At 39.8% G+C, this 19,542-nt stretch overlaps 1 pseudogene; it reads right to left on the bottom strand.

Annotated features, from left to right (window-relative positions):
- Positions 1-5,880: 5,880 nt before the first annotated feature.
- RPL30P8 (ribosomal protein L30 pseudogene 8) lies at positions 5,881-10,824 on the bottom strand (annotated as a pseudogene).

Raw genomic sequence — 19,542 nt, 5'->3', positions numbered from 1 at the left:
AACCCCATCACTACTGAAAATACAAAAAATAGCCGGGAGTGGTGGTGCACACCTATAATCCCAGTTACTCGGAAGGTTGAGGTGGGAGGATTGCTTGAACCCGGGGATGCAGAGGTTGCAGTGAGCATAGATTGCACCTGGGTGACAGAGCAAGACTGTCTCCAAAAAAAAAGTACATACATATTCTTATGGTTTCCTCATATTTGTCAAAATTTTTAATCTTATGATTTAATTCAATTGGAATTTATGGCCGGGCGCAGTGGCTCACGCCTATAATCTTAGCACTTTGGAAAATCGAGGCAGGTGGATCACCTGAGGTCAGGAGTTCGAGACCAGCCTGGGGCAACATGGTGATACCCTATCTCTACTAAAAGTAAAAAAATTAGCCAGGCATGCTGGCATGCACCTGTAATCCCAGCTACTCGAGGGGCTGAGACAGGAGAACCGCTTGAACTCCGGAGGCGGAGGATGCAGTGAGCCAAGATTGCACCACTGCACTCTAGCCTGGATGACAGAGCAAGACTCTGTCTCAAAAAAAAATAAAATAAAATAAAATAAAATTGGGAATTTATTTTGCAGTATAGTGTGAGGTAGGAATCTCATTTGATTATTTTTCCCTTATGTTCTACCAGAATTGATTTGAAATTCTTTCATCAGTATGCACTACAGTTCCCATGAAAACATGGGTCTATTGCTGGATTCTCTCTTCTGTTTAGTGAACTATCTTTTTAGTCCTATGCCAATACATTTTTGTTTAATTACTATAATTTTGTAATGTATTTTGATATCTGGCATGGAAAATCATCTTTATTTTTCTTTTGCTTTAAAAGTCAGCATTCTTACTTATTTACTCTTCCAGAAAAAATTAGGATCAGCCTTTCAATTCTAAACATATTTTTTCTCTGAGTACTTGATGCGATTATACTTAGATAATAAATTGGCATACAATTGATATCTTTATAATGTATTTTTTTTTTAGAAAAAACAAGCTTGGCAAGTTTTATTAAAGGAAAATTTTGCATAGTTTACTTTCCACCAGTCTGTTCTGGCATGCTTCTAATGATAGCAGAATCACCTGGATCAGTGAGCGCCAGTGTGCATACTCTGTAGTATTTTCCGCATGCTGTTCCCAGTTCAATATTATTGCCACTGTAGTGATGGACACCAATTTTGGCCAACATTGCATAGTACTCTACTTCTGATTTCCGCAAAGCTGGGCAGTTGTAAGCAAGGATGACCAATTTTGCTGTGCCTTGTCTGATCATCTTTAAAGTCTGCTTGTACCCCAGCATGTACTTTCCACTTTTCATGAGTTGGAGCCGATAATTAATTGACTCCAGTGAATTTTTCATCTCCTTGGTTGGGATGGCCCCAGTCAAGAGCAGCTGCCAAGATGGCTGGGGAGTAAGAAAGGTGATATCTGTATAATATTATATATACAGGTATTCAGGTCTTTTTTTCATCCTTACATATAGGTTTACAGTTGTCTTCATTATATGTTATGCAAATTATTCCTAGATAATCTATAATTTTATCTTCTTCCTGTTGTTTTTAAATGAGTTACCCACATATGTGCCACATGCAGGAGGAGATGGCAGAAATAGTAAGTGATTTGCCTAAGTGCAACTAGTTAATAACAGAATTTAGATTAGAGACCAAGTCTTCTGACTGGGACTCCCCCCACAATAAGGCAGATTCTTTTACCACTGCCCCATTCTTGTTGCTATCTTTCTCTCTCTCTTTTATTTTTTATTTTATTTTATTTTATTTTGAGATAGGGTCTTGCTCTGTCGCCCAGGATGGAGTGCAATAACGCCATCTAAGCTCACTGCAACCTCTGCCTCTGGAGTTCAAGCAATTCTCCTCCCTCAGCCTCCCTAGTAGCTGGGATTCCAGGCACCTGCCACCATACCTGGCTGTTTTTTGCATATTTAGTAGAGACGAGGTTTTACCATGTTGGCCAGGCTGGTCTCGAACTCCTGACCTCAGGAAATCCACTCGCCTTGGCCTCCCAAATTACTGGGATTACAGGCGTGAGCCACCGCGCCTGGCCTCTCTCTCTCTCTTTGAATGTAGCTTATGTTGAATAATGAATCTGAGTCAAGAAAAATATAGCCTAATCCCATAAATTTGACTCATAAGAAATTAGAATAAATGTGTAAGGTTCATTTCTCAAATTCTATTCATGTTCGAAGTAAGTAATATTTATGTTGATGGAATTTAGGGAGTCTGTTTTTAACCTAACATTTCTTTAAAGGCTTCACACAAATGAAACCTAAGCAAAATTTCTTAAATAGTAATCTCAAATTTTATCTATGAAATAAAGCTCTAAAAGGTCATCTTATTCATAAGTTTTATATCTCATTAAAGACTGAAAAAACTTAATCTCATTATAATTAAACTTTGCATTTTGTCTTTTATTTAGTGCAGTTGCAAAACAGAATTGTTTGATCACTGTCAACAGTTGAAAACATGATGGTAGTTTCAGCAATTATTGGTACATTGTGAGTCTATCATCAAATATTTTAATATCAGTGCAAATCAGTGATTTCAATAAATAAATTTTGAAATAAATAAAACCAGAGTGTTTAAACAAAACTTAAACTAAAGGCACAAAATGTATAGATGTGGGCTTAATGGTATACCCTAACAAACGTTTCTGCAGGTGGCTTATCAGGAGGAAGCTTGATGCATTCTGTCCCTTGAATAGGCAAAGGTCTCCAGCCACTTTCTTTAAAGTTAGTAGGTGTGCCGACTAATTCCATTTCACAAGGAGAATCCTGAAAGATTTAACAAACTGCATCTTTCCCCCCTATTCTTAAGCACAGTGCCTCAAACAAGATTCTAGTTATGCCTGTGAGATCAGATCAAATACATAACAGTGAGAAATTGAAATTCATAGTCAGTCCACTTAAATGCTCATCCAGTCAAAAATAGATTTGGTAAAGTATAAAAACATGGCTTGTTTTAAATAGAAAACATTTAGAAAAGGAACTGACTGAGAGGATCAAAGATAAGTGGAACCAAGTTTCATGGTATGGAGGCCAGTTAAACAAGTAAAGAACACAAAATAAAATACAGACAGTTTTCTTCTTGATTCAGGAGGTAGCTGAATTTCCTGCACTTGTGGAGAAAATCATCCATGCTTGAAAAGGTCTAGGTGTCCTGGTTGAAGCAGTATAAAAGCTGAGGATTCTGACACTCTTGTTTTCGTGGTAGGCTCCTGACTTGATAATGAGCCAGTTGGATATGAACCCTTTTTGACATCCATTGGTATGCAGATGCCAGCTGTGGAGTCTCCCACAAGTGAAGAGAAGGACTTGAGTAGGTCTTACATGTTAGTAAAATCTTTATGTTACTATTTATAGAGGTCTCACAGAATATATTTGCCTTCTACTTTTAGTATTTGTTCCTTCCTTCTGGTGAAGAGTCCTGGGAAGACATAGTGCTGATAGTGATCCGGTACATCAAATACCATGACTGTTCTTTGTTTGTTGTCCTCAATCCGGGTCCTCTTAACAGAAAATTTATTATTTTTTAAAATAAAATGTCTTCATTTTAAAAATGAAAATATTTTCCACCATTACATGTAAACTTCAATATATTTACCATTTGTGTCTCATTCTTATTGTTGCCCATATGAAACCTGCAAGTTCTATCAGACAGGCCTCCTGTCTTCGTTCTTGCACAAGGCAGCCACACCTGGAATGAGAGCCACTGGGATCCAGTGCTCAGCCACAGGGGCTGGAGGTAGCTGTGTTAGGAAGATGGTGCCCCAGCTTTTCACCGAGGCATTATGCTTCTTTGGCTGACACAAATCTGCTCTACTGAAAAACATTTGTAAAGGAGCTTTGCAGAATGTAACTTGCCTGGTTTGCAGTCTTGTTTCTTTCTTAGCCAAGAAGAAGCAAGGGGCTCATCAAACCAAATTTCAACCTTCAGCTTCACTTGAAAAATCATGGTGGTTGACATAGGGATCAGCAAAGTCTTTGAAGTTCTTTGGCATGCAAGGCAAATTATAATTTGGTTCTTAAGAGAAATGTTTTTCCTTTTGTGCTGTTTGGTATCCTGGGCACAGAATTCCTTCCCAGTTTTCCATAACCAGCATCCTGGGTATTTTTGTATTAAAATTATACCTTATGTTTTATCCTTCTCTTACTGGATATGTTTCATCCTTTTTACTTGAATAATTAGGCCGAGAGAATAAAAATCTAGTCTTGAGTCAAATAAATTAAAATTAAGTGGTTATTGAGAAAGGGGCATTTCAATTTCTTCGTTTGTGTTTTTATTTCCAGTGGAGCACCATCAATAAAGACTCTTACAATCAAATATGATAGAAATTCAGGACCAGGCAAGGTGGCTCATGCCATTAATCCCAGCACTTTGGGATGCCAAGGTGGGCAGATCACTTGAGGTCAGGAGTTCAAGACCAGCCTGGGCAACATGGCAAAACCCCATCTCTACTAAAAATACAAAAATCAGCTGGGTGAGGTGGAGCACACCTATAATCCCAGTTACTCTGGGGGCTGTGGCATGAGAATTGCTTGAATCTGGGAGGCGGAGGTTACAGTGAGCTGAGATTGAGATCGTGCCACTGTACTCCAGCCTGAGAGACAGAGGGAGACTCTATCTCTCAAAAAAAAAATATATATATGTTTTGGTGAATTTCTATTTTATATATAAATATATATATGTTATTTTCTTTATTTATCATGTACATATAACAGAAATTCACCAAAAACCTGACTCTTCTTTAAATCTTACCAATTAATGGAAATAAATGTTTAATTGATCAATAAGCATGTATTTTTGAGCGCCTCTGAGTTTAAAGATATTTAAAGTACTGCTGTTAGACTGTAGTGGTGGTAACAGTTCTTCCTAGAGCCTGGAAAGAGGTGGCATTCTTCTTGCACCAGGTTCAGACTTAGCTATTTTGAATCATTCCTTACTGAGAGTCAGCTAATCCCTCCTCAGTTCCCTCTTTATCACTAGTCTCGAATACAGTGACTGTCTATTGCACTTATGGAAAATAGATCAGTGGGGTGCTCCTGAACTTCTTTATAAGTTGAAGTGCCATTGCTGAAATTCATGCAATGCAACATAATAATGTGTGATTGGCACTAAAATAGGTGTTCAGCATTTTGCATTTCTGTAAGTTTCAGAAAAACTGTAAGGTTTTTGTTGTTGTTGTTGTTGTTTTGTTTTGTTTTGTTTTAGAGACAGGGTCTTGCTCTGTCACCCAGGCTGGAGTCCAGTGGCATGATCACAGCTCACTGCAGCCTTGATCCACCTGGGCTCAAGCAATCCTCCCATCTCAGCCTCCTGAGTAGCTGGATTTATAGGACCATGCCATTAGGCCTGGTATATATGTGTGTGTGTGTGTGTGTGTGTGTGTGTGTGTGTGTGTGTGTGTGCGCGTGCATACATACATATGCAGTGAGACAGGGTTTCACTATATTGCCCAAGCTGGCTGGTCTTGAACTCTTGGGCTTAAATGATTCTTCTGTCTTGGACTCCCAAAGTGCTGGGATTACAGGAGTGAGCCACCATGCCTGGCCTAGAAAAACTGTAAGTTAAATGAGAGCATGTGTGATAAGAACTGCCCTCTCCTATAATTCCCCTATAGTCTCTTAATGCTTTTATGCCTTACCAGGCCCCGCACTGCCCTGGTTTAGTTGACCTAGGGTAACTTAACTCTGTGTGAGTTTTCTTCCGGAATACAATCCTTTATACCAGGGCTCTATACCAGGGGTCACCAACAGTTTTGGGTAAAGTGTCAGGTATTTCAGACTTGGGGAATGAATTAGTTTTCTAGGCTGCTGTAACAAAATGCCACAAACTATGTAGCTTACAATAACAGAAATGTATACCCTTGCAGGTCTGGAGGCTCTGAGAGAGAACACATTCCATGCCTTTTTTGTTGTTGTTGTTGAGACAGAGTCTCATGCTGTCACTTAGGCTGGAGTGCAGTGGCATGATCATGGCTCACTGCAAGGCCTGACCTCCTGAGTCCAGGTGATCCTCAGGCCTTAGCCTCTTAAGTAGCTAGCACTATAGGTGTGCACCACCGTGCCTGGTTAATTTTTGTTTTATTTTTTGTAGAGACAGGGTCTTGCTAAGTTGCCCAGGCTGGCCATGCCTCTTTTCTAGCTTCTGCTGGTTGCTGGCAATCCTTGATTAGTAGATGCCTCACTCCAATTTCAGCCTCATTACAGCATGGCTTTCTTCCCACTGTATATCTGTGTTTTTATATAAGGACACCAGTGATTGGATTTAGGACCCACTCTAATCCAGTATGGCTTCATCGAAACTTAATTACATCTGCAAAGATCCTATTTCCCAATAAGGTCACATTCTGAGGTTCTGGGTGGACTTGGGAGACATTATTACTAGTACTCCTGCAGAAAGTCATCCAGTCTCTAGTGTAGCAGCAAGGCAGCCATGGGCAATGCATAAATGAATGAGTAGGCTCTGTTCCCATTAAAATTTTATTTATGAACATTGAAATTCGAATTTTATGCAGCAATTTAAAAGATCATTCTTAGTTTGTGGGTCTTACCAAAAGAGGGATGGAGTGCAGGGGGAAGATTCAACCCAATGCCTGTAGTTTGCTAACAGATATGATATAGTGATGGTGAGGAGGTAGATGTAACTTTAGGGTAATTTTTCTTCTTTCTGCTCATAAACAACCACATTCTGAGGAAACCTGTTTGTGATTTGCATCAAGAAACTTTCAATGGCCTCATGTTTTAGCAGAGAGGAAACCAGACTGATGCCTGTTTGGCAGCATCATTCCTGGTGTGCTTGCCAAAATTTTGGTGAGGATTTTGCTGTCAAGATTAAGAGGTGATGCAGGCTTAAATGAAGAACATGACCCGGAGTCCTTGTGTTGAAGGATTAGGACATTTCCCTCATGGGATCATAGCATTCTCTGTGCCAAAGGTTTGAGTATACTTTTGAGGTGATTTTAAATTAAAGGCATTTTATGACTCAATACTACGTGGCATTCTGGTAAGATGTTGTCATTCCCTAGGTACTCATTGAAGACTAGATATTAGATAATATTCTGCACATCTGAACAGACTTCATCTTCTAATGCTAAGAGCTGCTATTTTATCTTGAGGCAAAATAAATCTAAATTTTCTGATTTATTATGCATATGCTTCTAATGAGATTTATGTAATGTAAAATTTGAAGTTATTGTTAAAGGTTGTGATTTACTTGTTTTTTCTAATTACAAAACCAAAACTGGCTCATTGTAGAAAATTTAAATAATGCCAAAACAGATAATATAAAAATAGGAAAATTTCCCATAATCTCAATTCTCAGAGATAATTTCTGAGATTTTGGTATGTATTTTTTCTTTTTTTTTGAGATGAAGTCTCTCTCTGTTGCCCAGGCTGGAGTGCAGTGGTGCAATCTCTGCTCAATGCAGCTTCTGCCTCCCAGGTTCCAGCAATTCTCCTGCCTCAGCCTCCCCGGTAGATGGGATTACAGGCACGTGCCACCATACCCGGCTAATTTTTGTATTTTTAGTAGAGACGGGGTTTCACCATGTTGGCCAGGCTGGTCTTGAACTCCTGACCTCAGGTGATCTGCTTGCTTTGGCCTCCCAAAGTGCTAGGATTATAGGCGTGAACCATCGGGTATGTATTTTTTCAAACATTCCTCCTACCAAGTAATTATAAAAGCAAGTGAAAAGATAAACACTGAACAGACATTTTCCATGTTTTTAAGAGATTTTAGGACAAAGTATATGAGCAAAGTATCATTAGTTATTATACCTAATTATGCATTAGACTCATAGCATGCTAATAATAGAATATGAAATAGTTGTACCTCCTAATGTTAAGGGATATGTCTTTGTTTTGTTTTTGTTTTGTTGTCAACAAGCAGAGACTGACCTCGTAGAAACAATAACATCCATATACATATATAGTAAAGTCCTATTATTCAGAAACTCACTAAGCCGTGGGTTGAACAATGAGTCTTTTCTCCTTACTAGAGAGACTTGAAACAGGTATCCACCTTCTTCAGTAATAACATCAATAATTTTATAGGGTTTACCATCCACAGCATTCTGGAAGCCTGTTTCATTTAGGTAGGAGTTCACCATCAGGATCTCCAGTGGATATCGTAATGACTGCTGTGGTTTATGCCCTTAGCAGCCCAGAACAGAATGGTTGAATTACTACCCTCCTTAGACAACACGGAAATCTTGTGTATAAAAGTGGATAATCCTCCACATGTATACAAAAGTGGCTAGATAATCTCAACACTTGGGTTATGCCTACAAGATGCCAGCTTACTTTAGTGTCTTGGGAGGTAATACGGGCTTTGGAAAGACACAGACCTGGACATGAATCTTACCTCTATTTCTATAATCCATGGGGCCTTAAACAAGTTACTTAAACTGCGTTTTGGTTTTCTCATCTACAAAATGGAAATAAATAGTAATATGTCCGGAGTTGGTTCCTTCTGGTGGGTTCATGGTCTCGCTGACTTCAAGAACGAAGCTGTGGACCTTTGGGTGAGTGTTACAGCTCTTAAAGATGGCACAGACCCAAAGAGTGAGAGGTAGCAAGGTTTATTGTGAGGAGCGAAAGAACAAAGCTTCCACAGTATGGAAGGAGACCCAAGTTGGTTGACGCTGCTGGCTGGGGTGGCCAGCTTTTATTCCCTTATTTGTGCCCTCCCATGTTCCATTTCTGTCCTATCAGAGTGCCTTTTTTTCAGTCCTCCCCACGATTGGCTACTTTTAGACTCCTGCTGATTGGTGTTTTACAGAGCACTGATTGGTGCATTTTATAATCCTCTGGCTATCTACAGAGCACTGATTACTGCATTTTTACAGAGCACTGATTGGTGCATTTTGCAATCCTCTTGCTAGCTACAGAGCGCTGACTGGTGAGTTTTACAGTCCCAGCTACAGAGTGCTGATTGGTGCGTTTTACAATCGTCTTGTAAGACAGAAAAGTTCTCCAAGTCCCCATTCCACCCAGGAAGTCCAGCTGGCTTCACCTCTCAGTAACACTTTGCAGGAGTGTTAAGGATTAGTGTTGATGTGTGTGTAAAGCACTGAACCAGTATCTCATATTTAGGAGGAGCTCAAAAATACTATTTTTTATTGTTATTACTTGAGTTTTTTTTGTCTTTTTTTTTTCCTTTTTGTAGAGAACAGGGTCTTGCTATATTGCCCAGGCAGGTGTCAAACTCCTGGGCTCAAGTGTCAAACTCCTGGGCTCAAGCTCTTCTCCTGCCTCTGCCTCCCTAAGAGCTGGGATTACAGATATGAGCCACTGTGCCTGGCTACAGAGAGATCTTTTGATGACCCAATCTGACTCTCTTATTTAACAAACGAAAAAAACTGGGTTCAGAAGGCTTACTGCTCTTAGGTTATTCACGTAGTTGGTGGTAGACCAGAAAGGACAATTTTGACACTATGTTTCTTACTCCAGTCTTCCCTTCCATCATTCATTCTTTCTTTTAAAATTTTTATTTAATAGTCCCAGACACTGATAAATTCATTCATGTCTGTAATTTCTTTAGCCATACTGCTTATTACAAAACATACTGCTTATTACATAACTTGTTATTACATAACGAGTTCTCATTCAATAAAAAGTCTGAAGATCTATACATTGCTTTTAAAGAAAAATGTGTATATAAATGATGTCCTCATTAAAGACTCAGTGAATTCTCATTTTTTCTGTCTGTCTTCCATTTCTGGTGTTTGCTGAGATTTATATTCAGTTTTTTCCACATTATACTTACAGGTTTACTGAATTTCATAAGACTGGCTCAATTTCACAAATTTGTCTGGACTCGAAATATTAGCAACTGCTGTGTTCATTGTTACTGCAAGAAACACTTTTATCGTATATTTTCATATAATTTCAGTATACTACATATATATGCATATATATCCATGTGTACATACACATCTGTGTATATATGAAAGCTTTATGTTTTATTTTACACTGCATGAGCATGATTCTCCAACAGAACACGTAGATTTTTCGAGCACCCTAGGCATTAAATTGACACATAGGGTCCCAAAGACTTCTTTAACAAGAGATCAATATTCTTTAAGCCTATACTTTTTACACAATAATTGGAGAATAATGGTCTGTTCTTATCTGGTTTTCACTGAGATCTTCTCATACAATGACTGGTGAGATGTGCAGTCCTGGGCAGAGGCACAATGTGCAGCCAGCAGCTAATATGTTCCTTGGCATAATAACTCACCTTGCCAGAATGACCCAAAGAAGCTCTGCCTGGTGAATTCCCCTGAGCCATATGGGCTGTTAGTTGACCTTGTACTGGCTGCTTACATTTTCTTAGCTTCATTAACTTTGCTTACATAGTTGGGGAAGGTTCAAATGAGGTAATCCAGGTAAAAACCATTTGTAAACTACTAAAAGCTACAGAAACACGAGCTATTAATATAAACACACTCTAATAACGTACCAATAGGAGAAACCAACATAATTATTTAAAATTTTTAATAATTAGGTTCATAAAAATTCAAGGATTTTGGAATCACTCTCTGTACCTTTTCTGTATCTTTAGGTTTAGCAATACTCAAGAAATATCCCAATTATGGGAAAAATCACAAATGCTACTGACTGCACAAAGCCAGGAATTCAGTCTAGTGGTGAAATTCTTATGGTTAACCTTTTGTCCCCATTACTAAACCTCACCCCAAAAGAGAATGGAGTGTGTGGAATCTCTTCGGGAGTCTATTCAAGAGGAAGTAACATTCCTACTTGTCCATTCTCTGCCTGCTTCCCCACACTGCACAGTACTTAGGCTCCTCCTCATCCTTGGTCTGGATTCTTTTAGTGATTCTAATTATATGCATGACCTTGGCTTTCAGGCTAAGGTAAGCTTTATGGCCAATTTGTGGGCTATTTTCAAAGAAATTTCCTGGTGTTTTACAGGGACTTTATTTACTTTCACAAGACCTCATCCATGTATTCATTATAAAGAACCGTATTGGTTTGCTTTTCTACTCTTTCCTGCTCTGCCACCTCTACAGGAAATTACATTGCAGGCAGAGGCATCACGCAGAGAAAAGACACCTCCTTATTCAGTGGAAGCAATTTCTGTCTTATGTGTTACTTCAACTGTCATAACATTCTCAGGCATGAACTTCACTCTCTTGATTAATATTTATAACCTCCTCTTTAGACACCTGTAATGTCAGTGCCTGTTGGGGTAGGAAGCTCAGTACATGGCAGGCAGGAGAGTTAATACAGTCTGTTAATACTTAAAGAGACGAGGGTTGTCTAAAGGTTCCATTGTCAAAGGAAGCCCGGGGATGGATTCTGGCTACAAACCAGGGAGGGACATTTCTATCCAGCCTTGCACTAGTCCTAATTGGAAGTGGCATGACCCACTGGACTCAGAGCAGGAGTATCTACTTGCTGCTGGCTTGTTCTGTGAGTTGAGGCAATTCCCTGATGTCTGATACCTTTATTTCCCCAACTGTAACATGAACTAACTGAGTGATTGCCTACATAGGCTTGTTATAAATAGGACAAATGGCATGTCTGTGCAGCTGCTTTCATTCTCCTACTCTCAGAATGGTTAAAACCAGGGTATTTAATTTCCCTTAGAAAGAAAGATTTTCAGGAGCAGCTTGGAGTTATAGGCACTGAAAAGGAGGATCGGTGCCCATCACTCTATTGGCTCTCAGACACTGCCCACCTCTAGAGCAACACAATATCACACAACTCTGGTAGATCATGATACAGGATCTGAGAAGACTTGAAGATTGCAGGAAAAATTAAAGCTGGGAATGTCTATTTGGATTGAAAATGGTTCATGGGGACTCCTATCAGGACTAAGCTCCAGTTCTGAACATTTAACAAACTGTTTTCTGCCTGCATCTTCTGCATCCAAACATTCAATTGTATTTTCAACCTGAAAATGCCTAAAATGGAATGCATTATTCTATAAACTTCTGTAATCTTTGTCATTAAGTTAGTGAATGACTTTTGATAACTTACATTGTTTCTTTGTGTCCATTTTTATCATTCATTAATTCATTTATTGTGATTTAGCCAATCAATTTGTATTCCTGGAGAATCTAATACGTCTAAGACATAGAATGTTATCCAAACATAAGGTTGCAAATGCTGCCTTTTCCACAATTTTTTTCTCTGGTACTCAGTTGCAGGTAATCTTCTTTCCTTGGCTTCACTGCTTTCTAACTTTCTTACAATACTTATCATGTGCTGATACATATAATGTTATTTGTGTACATGTTTTATTTCCCATACTATAAGTTTTATTATCTTAAAACCTTTAAACTGTCTACACCATCCCCTTGTATTTTACAGATAATAAATATAGAATGGAAGACAGATACAAAAATAACAATAATGTAACACAATATATAATGACATATGGGCATATGGGTGGTAGACATTAAAAAGTGCTCTGGGAATGAAGAGATGAATTGATCAGGGAAAAGCACTTGGAAGTAGGGTGGTTGATATGGTTTGGCTCTGTGTCTCCACCCAAATTTCACCTCAAATTATAATCCCCATAATCCCCACGTGTCAAGGGATGGAACAGGTGGGAGGTGATTGGATCATGGGGGTGTTTTACCCCATGCTGTTCTCATGATAGTGAGTGAGTTCTCACAACATCTGATGGTTTTATATGGCAGTTTTTCCTGCTCTTGCTTGCTCTCTCTCACCTGCCATCATGTAAGATGTGCCTCTTCCCCTTCCTCCATGACTGTAAGTTTCCTGAAGCCTCCCCAGCCATGCGGAACTATGAGTCAATTAAACCCCTTTCCTTTATAAATTACCCAGTCTTGGGTGTTTCTTTATAGCAGTGTGAAAATGGGCTAATCCAGTGGTCATGGGAGAGGTGGGGTGAAGTCATTCCAGGTAGAGAAAAAATATTAGCAACTGGTGCCCATAGGAAAGAATATATCTTTGGGAAACCAGGAGTGATGATGATGGACAGTAAACTAGAGGAAGGGATGTTGCAAATACCAAACTAAGATGATTAGGCTCTTCTATAAGCAAAGATTAGATACAAAAATTTTTTGAGCAGTTGAGTGCCATATCAAAGAGACATTTTCAAGAGATTTCTCAGGTGATGGCATGTGAGTTGGTGAGAGAGCTTGGAGGCAGAAAAAATCAGAAGAATTAGTTACTTGTGCAAGAGTATGTGAATATCTTGGAACAGATATAAAGGTGTAAGGCAGAGAAACTAGAGCAGGAGAGTGGAATCCTCAGATTATAAAGAGATGACCAATAAGACATTGCAATTGAGTTTGAGGATAAGGAAAGGGGTAAATAAAAACCCATTTCTAGGTCTTGTGTTTAGATTATGTTAAAAATTGTGATACCATTGATAAATGGTGGAAAATCAATTTTGGAGGAAAAATAATGCATTCAGTTTTAGGCATTTTCAGGTTGAAAATGCAATGATGGAATGTTTGGGTGCAGAGGAGGCAGGCGCTAACCAGTTTGTTGAATGTTCAAGACTGGAGCTTAGAAGGGAGATCAGAGGTTAGAAAGTAAATACAAGGCCTACATGTTAGCTCACACTTGTAATACCAGCATTTTGGGAGGCCAAGGCAGGAGGATCGCTTGAGGCCAGGAGTTTGACACCAGCCTGGACAACATAGTAAAGACCTATCTCTACAAAAATATAATCAAAAAGTTAGCCAGGCATGTGGTGCATGCCTGTAGCTCTAGTTACTCAGGGGGCTGAGGCAGGAGGATTGCTTGAGCCCAAGAGTTTGAGGTTGCAGTGAGCTATGATCATGCCACTGTACTCTACCCTGGATGACAGAGTGAGACTCTGTGTCTAAATAAATAAATAAAAAGGAAAAACATATAGATGAAATGATGAAAACATATAGATGAAAGTAAAAACATATAGATGAAATGATGAAAAAGAGTTGTCCACTTACTTCCTTTGTTGTAATTTCTCTGTTATAAGCTCCTTGAAGGTAGGACGAAGTCCTATTTGTTTTTGTTATCTGGCTTTGCATGTGAAGCACCTGGTACATAATCTGCATTTTATGAGTCATTTTTCTGGAAAGCTACTTAGACCCATATGCAACCCTATGTTACTTGTGCTAACGAGATACAAAGAGAACACTTAGGTGTAAAATTCACAGACAAGTGAAATTTTTAGGTAATAGCCTCAATCTTCCCTTTCTCCTAGAAAATAATTTATTACTACAAGTTACCAAACTAAAATTTATATATATTTTTTCATCTGATGATAGGTTGAAAGGCTTTAAGCCCATTACAGATAGGAAGTCTTAGTTAATTGCTATTTTGTGCTTGCTGATTTCTCAGGTCCCTTAAAATTTTAAGAAATCTAAGTTTAAGTTGGGTGAGAAGGAACTAGATAAAGCTACAAATCCTTGACATATTAGGAGTGCACATTACTCCAAAACCTCTATTTATCTTTTTCTCCATGTTTCTCTGTAAATTAGCCCAGCACTGAGAAATGATGGCTGAGCCTTGTAAAAGAGTACCTTCTGGTTCAACTTCTGTAGCTTAATCTGCTTCTCCCCTCCCAGCATGGGAGAGCTCAAGTAATGCATGTTTCCAAGTGTGGAGGGAAAAAGTCAGGGCCCTGTCTCTGCCAGCCCAGCAGTTCTCAGAGGAGCTGGAGCGTTGCCCGGTTGCTCCTGGGAATTGTGCGGTCGCCAGTGCAGCTGCACTCCTCATTACATGGTGGCCAAGAAGAGTCTCTTTCTATGCGCTGATTTTTCAGCTCATAGACATTGAGGCACCAGGATGTTGTAGGGGATTGGGGAGGCACTCTGCCCTATAAATATGACTTTCCCAAAGTTGCCCCTCCTTCTCCTCACTCTGGCCACAGTTTACACAGGAACACAGCAGAAAGATTGCATATTTAAGTCTTTTCTTCCTTCAAGGGAGAGACAGTCACCCCTGCTTAGGTGCAGAGAAAGAGAGGAGAGTGGAGAGCAGAAAATAGGCCTCCTTTAGTCTCCCTTCAGTGGCTGGAGGAGGTGTGGCACAGTGGGAGAGCCCCAGACTCAGAGGCAGTCAGAGATCTGCTACTGGGACTCTATCACCCTGGACCTTCATTTCCTCTTTGCAAAATGAGGGGCTCTAACTAGATCTCTAAAATCTCTTTCCTGGCTGGGCGTGGTGGCTCACACTTGCAACCCTAGCAATTTGGGAGGCGGAGGTGGGTGGATCACATGAGGCCAGGAGTTCGAGACCAGCGTGACCAACATGGCAAAATCCCATCTACTAAAACTACAAAAATTAGCCGGGCGTGCTAGTGCACACCTGTAGTCCCAGCTACTCGGGAGGCTGAGGCACGAGAATTGCTTGAACCCGGGAGGGGGAGGTTGCAGTGAGCTGAGATCGCACCACTGCACTCTAGCCTGGGCCACAGAGTGAGACTCTGTCTCAAACAAAAACAACAACAACTCAAAACAAACCAACAAAGAAACAAAAAGAAAAGTATCCTTCCTGTCCTAATATCCTATTTTTTTTTTTATTTCATGAGATGAAAAACAATACACACTCCAAGTTATTCTTGACGTAATTCCACTAGAGTACTGGGCAACATCTAGCTCATGTATAAACACTTCTCCATGCCTTTTGAAATACTTTGGAGGAGAATACGGAAAAGGTAAATCTGAGAGAACACAATTAATTCTGACATTTCTGTTAAATTTGGAAAACTACAATCTTGAACTAGAGTTTGTAGGTTGGCCAGAACCTAAGTTTTGAGGAGGTATCTTCTAGGCTGGACTGATTTATGCTGGCCTTGAGCATGCAAGGACTCCCAGCCTGAAGGACTGCGATACAGTTTGGAGGCAAACTGTCTTTGATTAAACTGTTCCATCTAGTCCTGCTCCTGGTTACTGAGGGTGTGCTGTTAGTTACCACTGTGAGTGAGAAGTGGAGTCCACGTAGATACTTGGCAACGGTTGGCATCTATGTGGTCATGTGTGTTGTTTGTGCTGAAATCCCATAATACCTCCAGGCAGTTTAATTCTGTGGTGGAACCAACTTGAATAATTAAACAAAGCTAAGATTTGACAACACTGCACTTGTGGTACAACACAGCTGTGATTCCATGGGCTCAGCAGGGAGAAGGAGTTGGAGGAATCTGTCATAGCAAAAGCATGCTTTGTAACAAATAACAATTTAGCAGACATCCAAAGTGCTATGGAACAGAGGCTATAAAGAGTATGGTCTGTCAGGAGTGAATGGGTCATGGTGTCTGTTCTTGGGGGGTGATTGATCACGTCTGCTTGAATCATGGGTGTCTTATGAAATGAAACTTCTTGCCAGAGATGGATCGCCCCGTGATGCTCTCTCCTCCTATAAACACTTTTGCCATCTGATTTATAAATTGTCAGTAAGTAAACATTTTTGGGGAGAAAAGATCACTTTTGGGAACAACTAAAAATTTGATACTTTTTGTGTGTGTGTGTGTGTCTGGGATAGCCCTAGGGATTAAGGAAGACTAAAGACTCTTTGTTTATTAGATACAATAGAAGTTTGTATATTTGAAAGGATTTGTTTCCTGCTGCCTTCTCTTGTTGGGTAAAGCTTAAAAAAATAAAAATACTTTTGAGAAGTAACCAATTTTCTGATGCTAGACTTTGGGATCTCTATTTTATCCTGAGTGTGATGGCTTTTTGTGTTCCCAAGTCATTCAGGGGATGCTTTTCAATGGCTGTTTCCTCGCCAGTCACATTTAGTCCTGCAGAAGCCATTTGTATAGCTAACATGATCCACTCAGCAAGTGAGAGCTGGAGCATATTAAGCACTGGAATCATTTTACTGCAGAGCAGAAAAGATCTTGGATTTTAATGTTTAAGACTTTTGAATTGTGGGGCTCAGCTACCCAAATAGATTAGTATGTGATTCTGAAGAGCAGTAAAATTGGTATGTGATTTGCATGCTTCGACTTCAGAAGTCTTCAACATAAGTTAAATTACTATTATGCTTTTGTTTTGTGATTAATGTAACTGCAATTGCAGATGTTTTCTCAAAAGATCAATTTACCTCAGAATTCTCTTTTCTCTCTCTCTCTCTTTTTTTTTGAGATGGAGTGTCACTCTGTTGCCAGGCTGGAGTGCAGTGGCACGATCTTGGCTCACTGCAACATCCACCTGCCAGGTTCAAGTGATTCTCTTGCCTCAGCCTCCCAAGTAGCTAAGACTACAGGTGCGCACCACCATGCCCAGCTAATTTTTGTATTTTTAGTAGAGACGGGGTTTCACCATGTTGGCCAGGATGGTCTCGATCTCTTGACCTCAGGTGATCCACCCACCTCGGCCTCCCAAAGTGCCGGGACTACAAGCGTGAGGCACCGTGCCTGGCTTCTTTTCTCATTTTTAACATGGGCAATTCATTAGCTTAAAATCATAATAAACTTCTAGAATGATATATTTCAGATTTTATAGAAGATGTGTGAAAACAAATATTAAACATTGATTTATAAAAAACTGTTTAAAATCTTTCTTTTAATCTGATCTGTCTTGGCATTTTTTTTTTTCCTGCTTCTGTTTCCATTAATTTTTCCTGTCTCATCTCCGGATTCTTCTTCTTTTTTGTTTTTTAAATACAGAGACAGGGTCTTGCCATCTTGCTGAGGCTGGTCTTGAACCCCTGGGCTCAAGCAGTCCTCCTGCCTTGGCCTCCCAAACTGCTGGGATTACAGGTGTGAGCCACCATGCCCAGCCTGATTCTTCTTTTGGAGACATTTCCTTTTTGTCTTCTGAAAGAGATTCCACTGAGAATCCACCCCACTTTCCTGTTATAGTTTCTTCACTGTCCAGTGTCTTTATACTCTTTTTTTTTTTTGAGATAGAGTCTTACTCTGTGGCCCAGGCTGGAGTGCAGTGGCGTGATTTCGGCTCCCGCAACCTCTGCCTTCTGGGTTCAAGCTATTCTTCTGCCTCAGCCTCCGGGGTAGTTGGGACTACAGGGGTGCACTGCCACGCCCCCTCTAATTTTTGTATTTTTAGTAGAAACGGGGTTCCACCACGTTGGCCAGGCTGGTCTTTAACTCCTGACCTCAGGCAATCTGCCCACCTAGGCCTCCCAAAGTGCTGAGATTCAGGCATGAGCCACAGTGCCTGGCCCTTCATACTCTTCTGATGACCACTGCACAACCCAAATGTCTGTCCATCGCTCCAGTTCCTTCCTTCGTCAGACTTCTAGTGTCCCTGCTACACAATAGCTGCCTGAGAGGTCAGCCTACACAGAGCCTAAGTCATTTTCTTCATAAAGTACTTATCTTCACTCAGTTCCTCCTGTTAGTCTCCCTTCTCAAAACTCTACTCTGTATTCTAATTCAGTCACTTAGAGAACTCTGGTATTTATTCTGATGGCTCACCCTCCCATTCTCAGGAATCTCTTGCCTGTATATCAAGCTTGTCGAACTCACAGCCTGCGGGCTGCATGTGGCCCAGAATGGCTTTGAGTGTGGCCCAACACAAATTTGTAAACTTTCTTAAAACATTATGGGATTTTTTTTGGCTTTTTTTTTTTTTTTTTTTTTTTTTTAGCTCATCAGCTATCATTAGCATTAGCATATTGTATGTGTGGCCCAAGACAATTCTTATTCCAGTGTGGCCCAGGGAAGCCAAAAGACTGGACACCCCTGCATATTTTTGCTTGATTTTCCTGTCTGAAGTTTCTGGATTTTGGTCACCATAAAATGCTTCAGTGCAAAAATTTCTTTGCTTTCTGGTGTATTTTTAACTCACTTTGCTTCAAATTCTTTCATCAGGTTTCTTTTATCTTTACCTGTAATTTATCCATTGGTAATTTTTAGGATGAAGCTTTCAGCCTCCTGTTACTTGTACCCTTTCTATAAAGTCTTGTCCATTGTCAGCCACATTCTTCCCACAGGCTTATTTCCAAATATGCTTAACATCTTTTCCTGTGTTCTGGAATACACTCCTGTCTCTTCTTTGCCAAACCACCTCCTGTATGGGGTGGTGGTTTAGAGTATGACCACTGGCACCAGAGTGCCTGGTTTCAAATTCTAGCTCTGCCACTCACTAACTGATTCACGGTTGTGTGGGACACTTAAGCTCTCCAAGTCTCAATTTCTTCATTTGTTACGTGGGGATGTTAATGATAGACCTGATCATCATTGATAGACCTTAGTAAGGCTGTTGTTAGGATTAAACGAATCAATACCAATGGTCCCCAACTTATATGGTTTGACTTATATGATTTTTTGACTTTATGATAGTATGAAAGCAATACACATTCCAGTAGAAACCATGCCTTGAGTATTCATACAATCATTTCATTTTTCCCTTTCAATCCAGTATTCAATAAATTACATGAGATATTGTACACTTTGTTGTAAAATAGGCTTTGTGTTAGATGATTTTGCCCAACTTAAGCTAATGTTAAGTCTACAGAGCACGATTAAGGTGGCTAGGCTAAGCTATGACGTTTGATAGGTTAGGTGTATTAAATGGATTTTCAACTTATAATATTTTTAGCTTATGGTGGGTTTATTGGGATGTAACTCCATCATAAG

Source organism: Homo sapiens, chromosome 6 (genome assembly GCF_000001405.40).
Source record: "Homo sapiens chromosome 6, GRCh38.p14 Primary Assembly".
In the NCBI taxonomy this organism is placed as follows: Eukaryota; Metazoa; Chordata; class Mammalia; order Primates; family Hominidae; genus Homo; species Homo sapiens.
The sequence above is the reverse complement of the archived record's forward strand: the minus strand, read 5'-3'. Positions and strand labels throughout refer to the sequence as shown.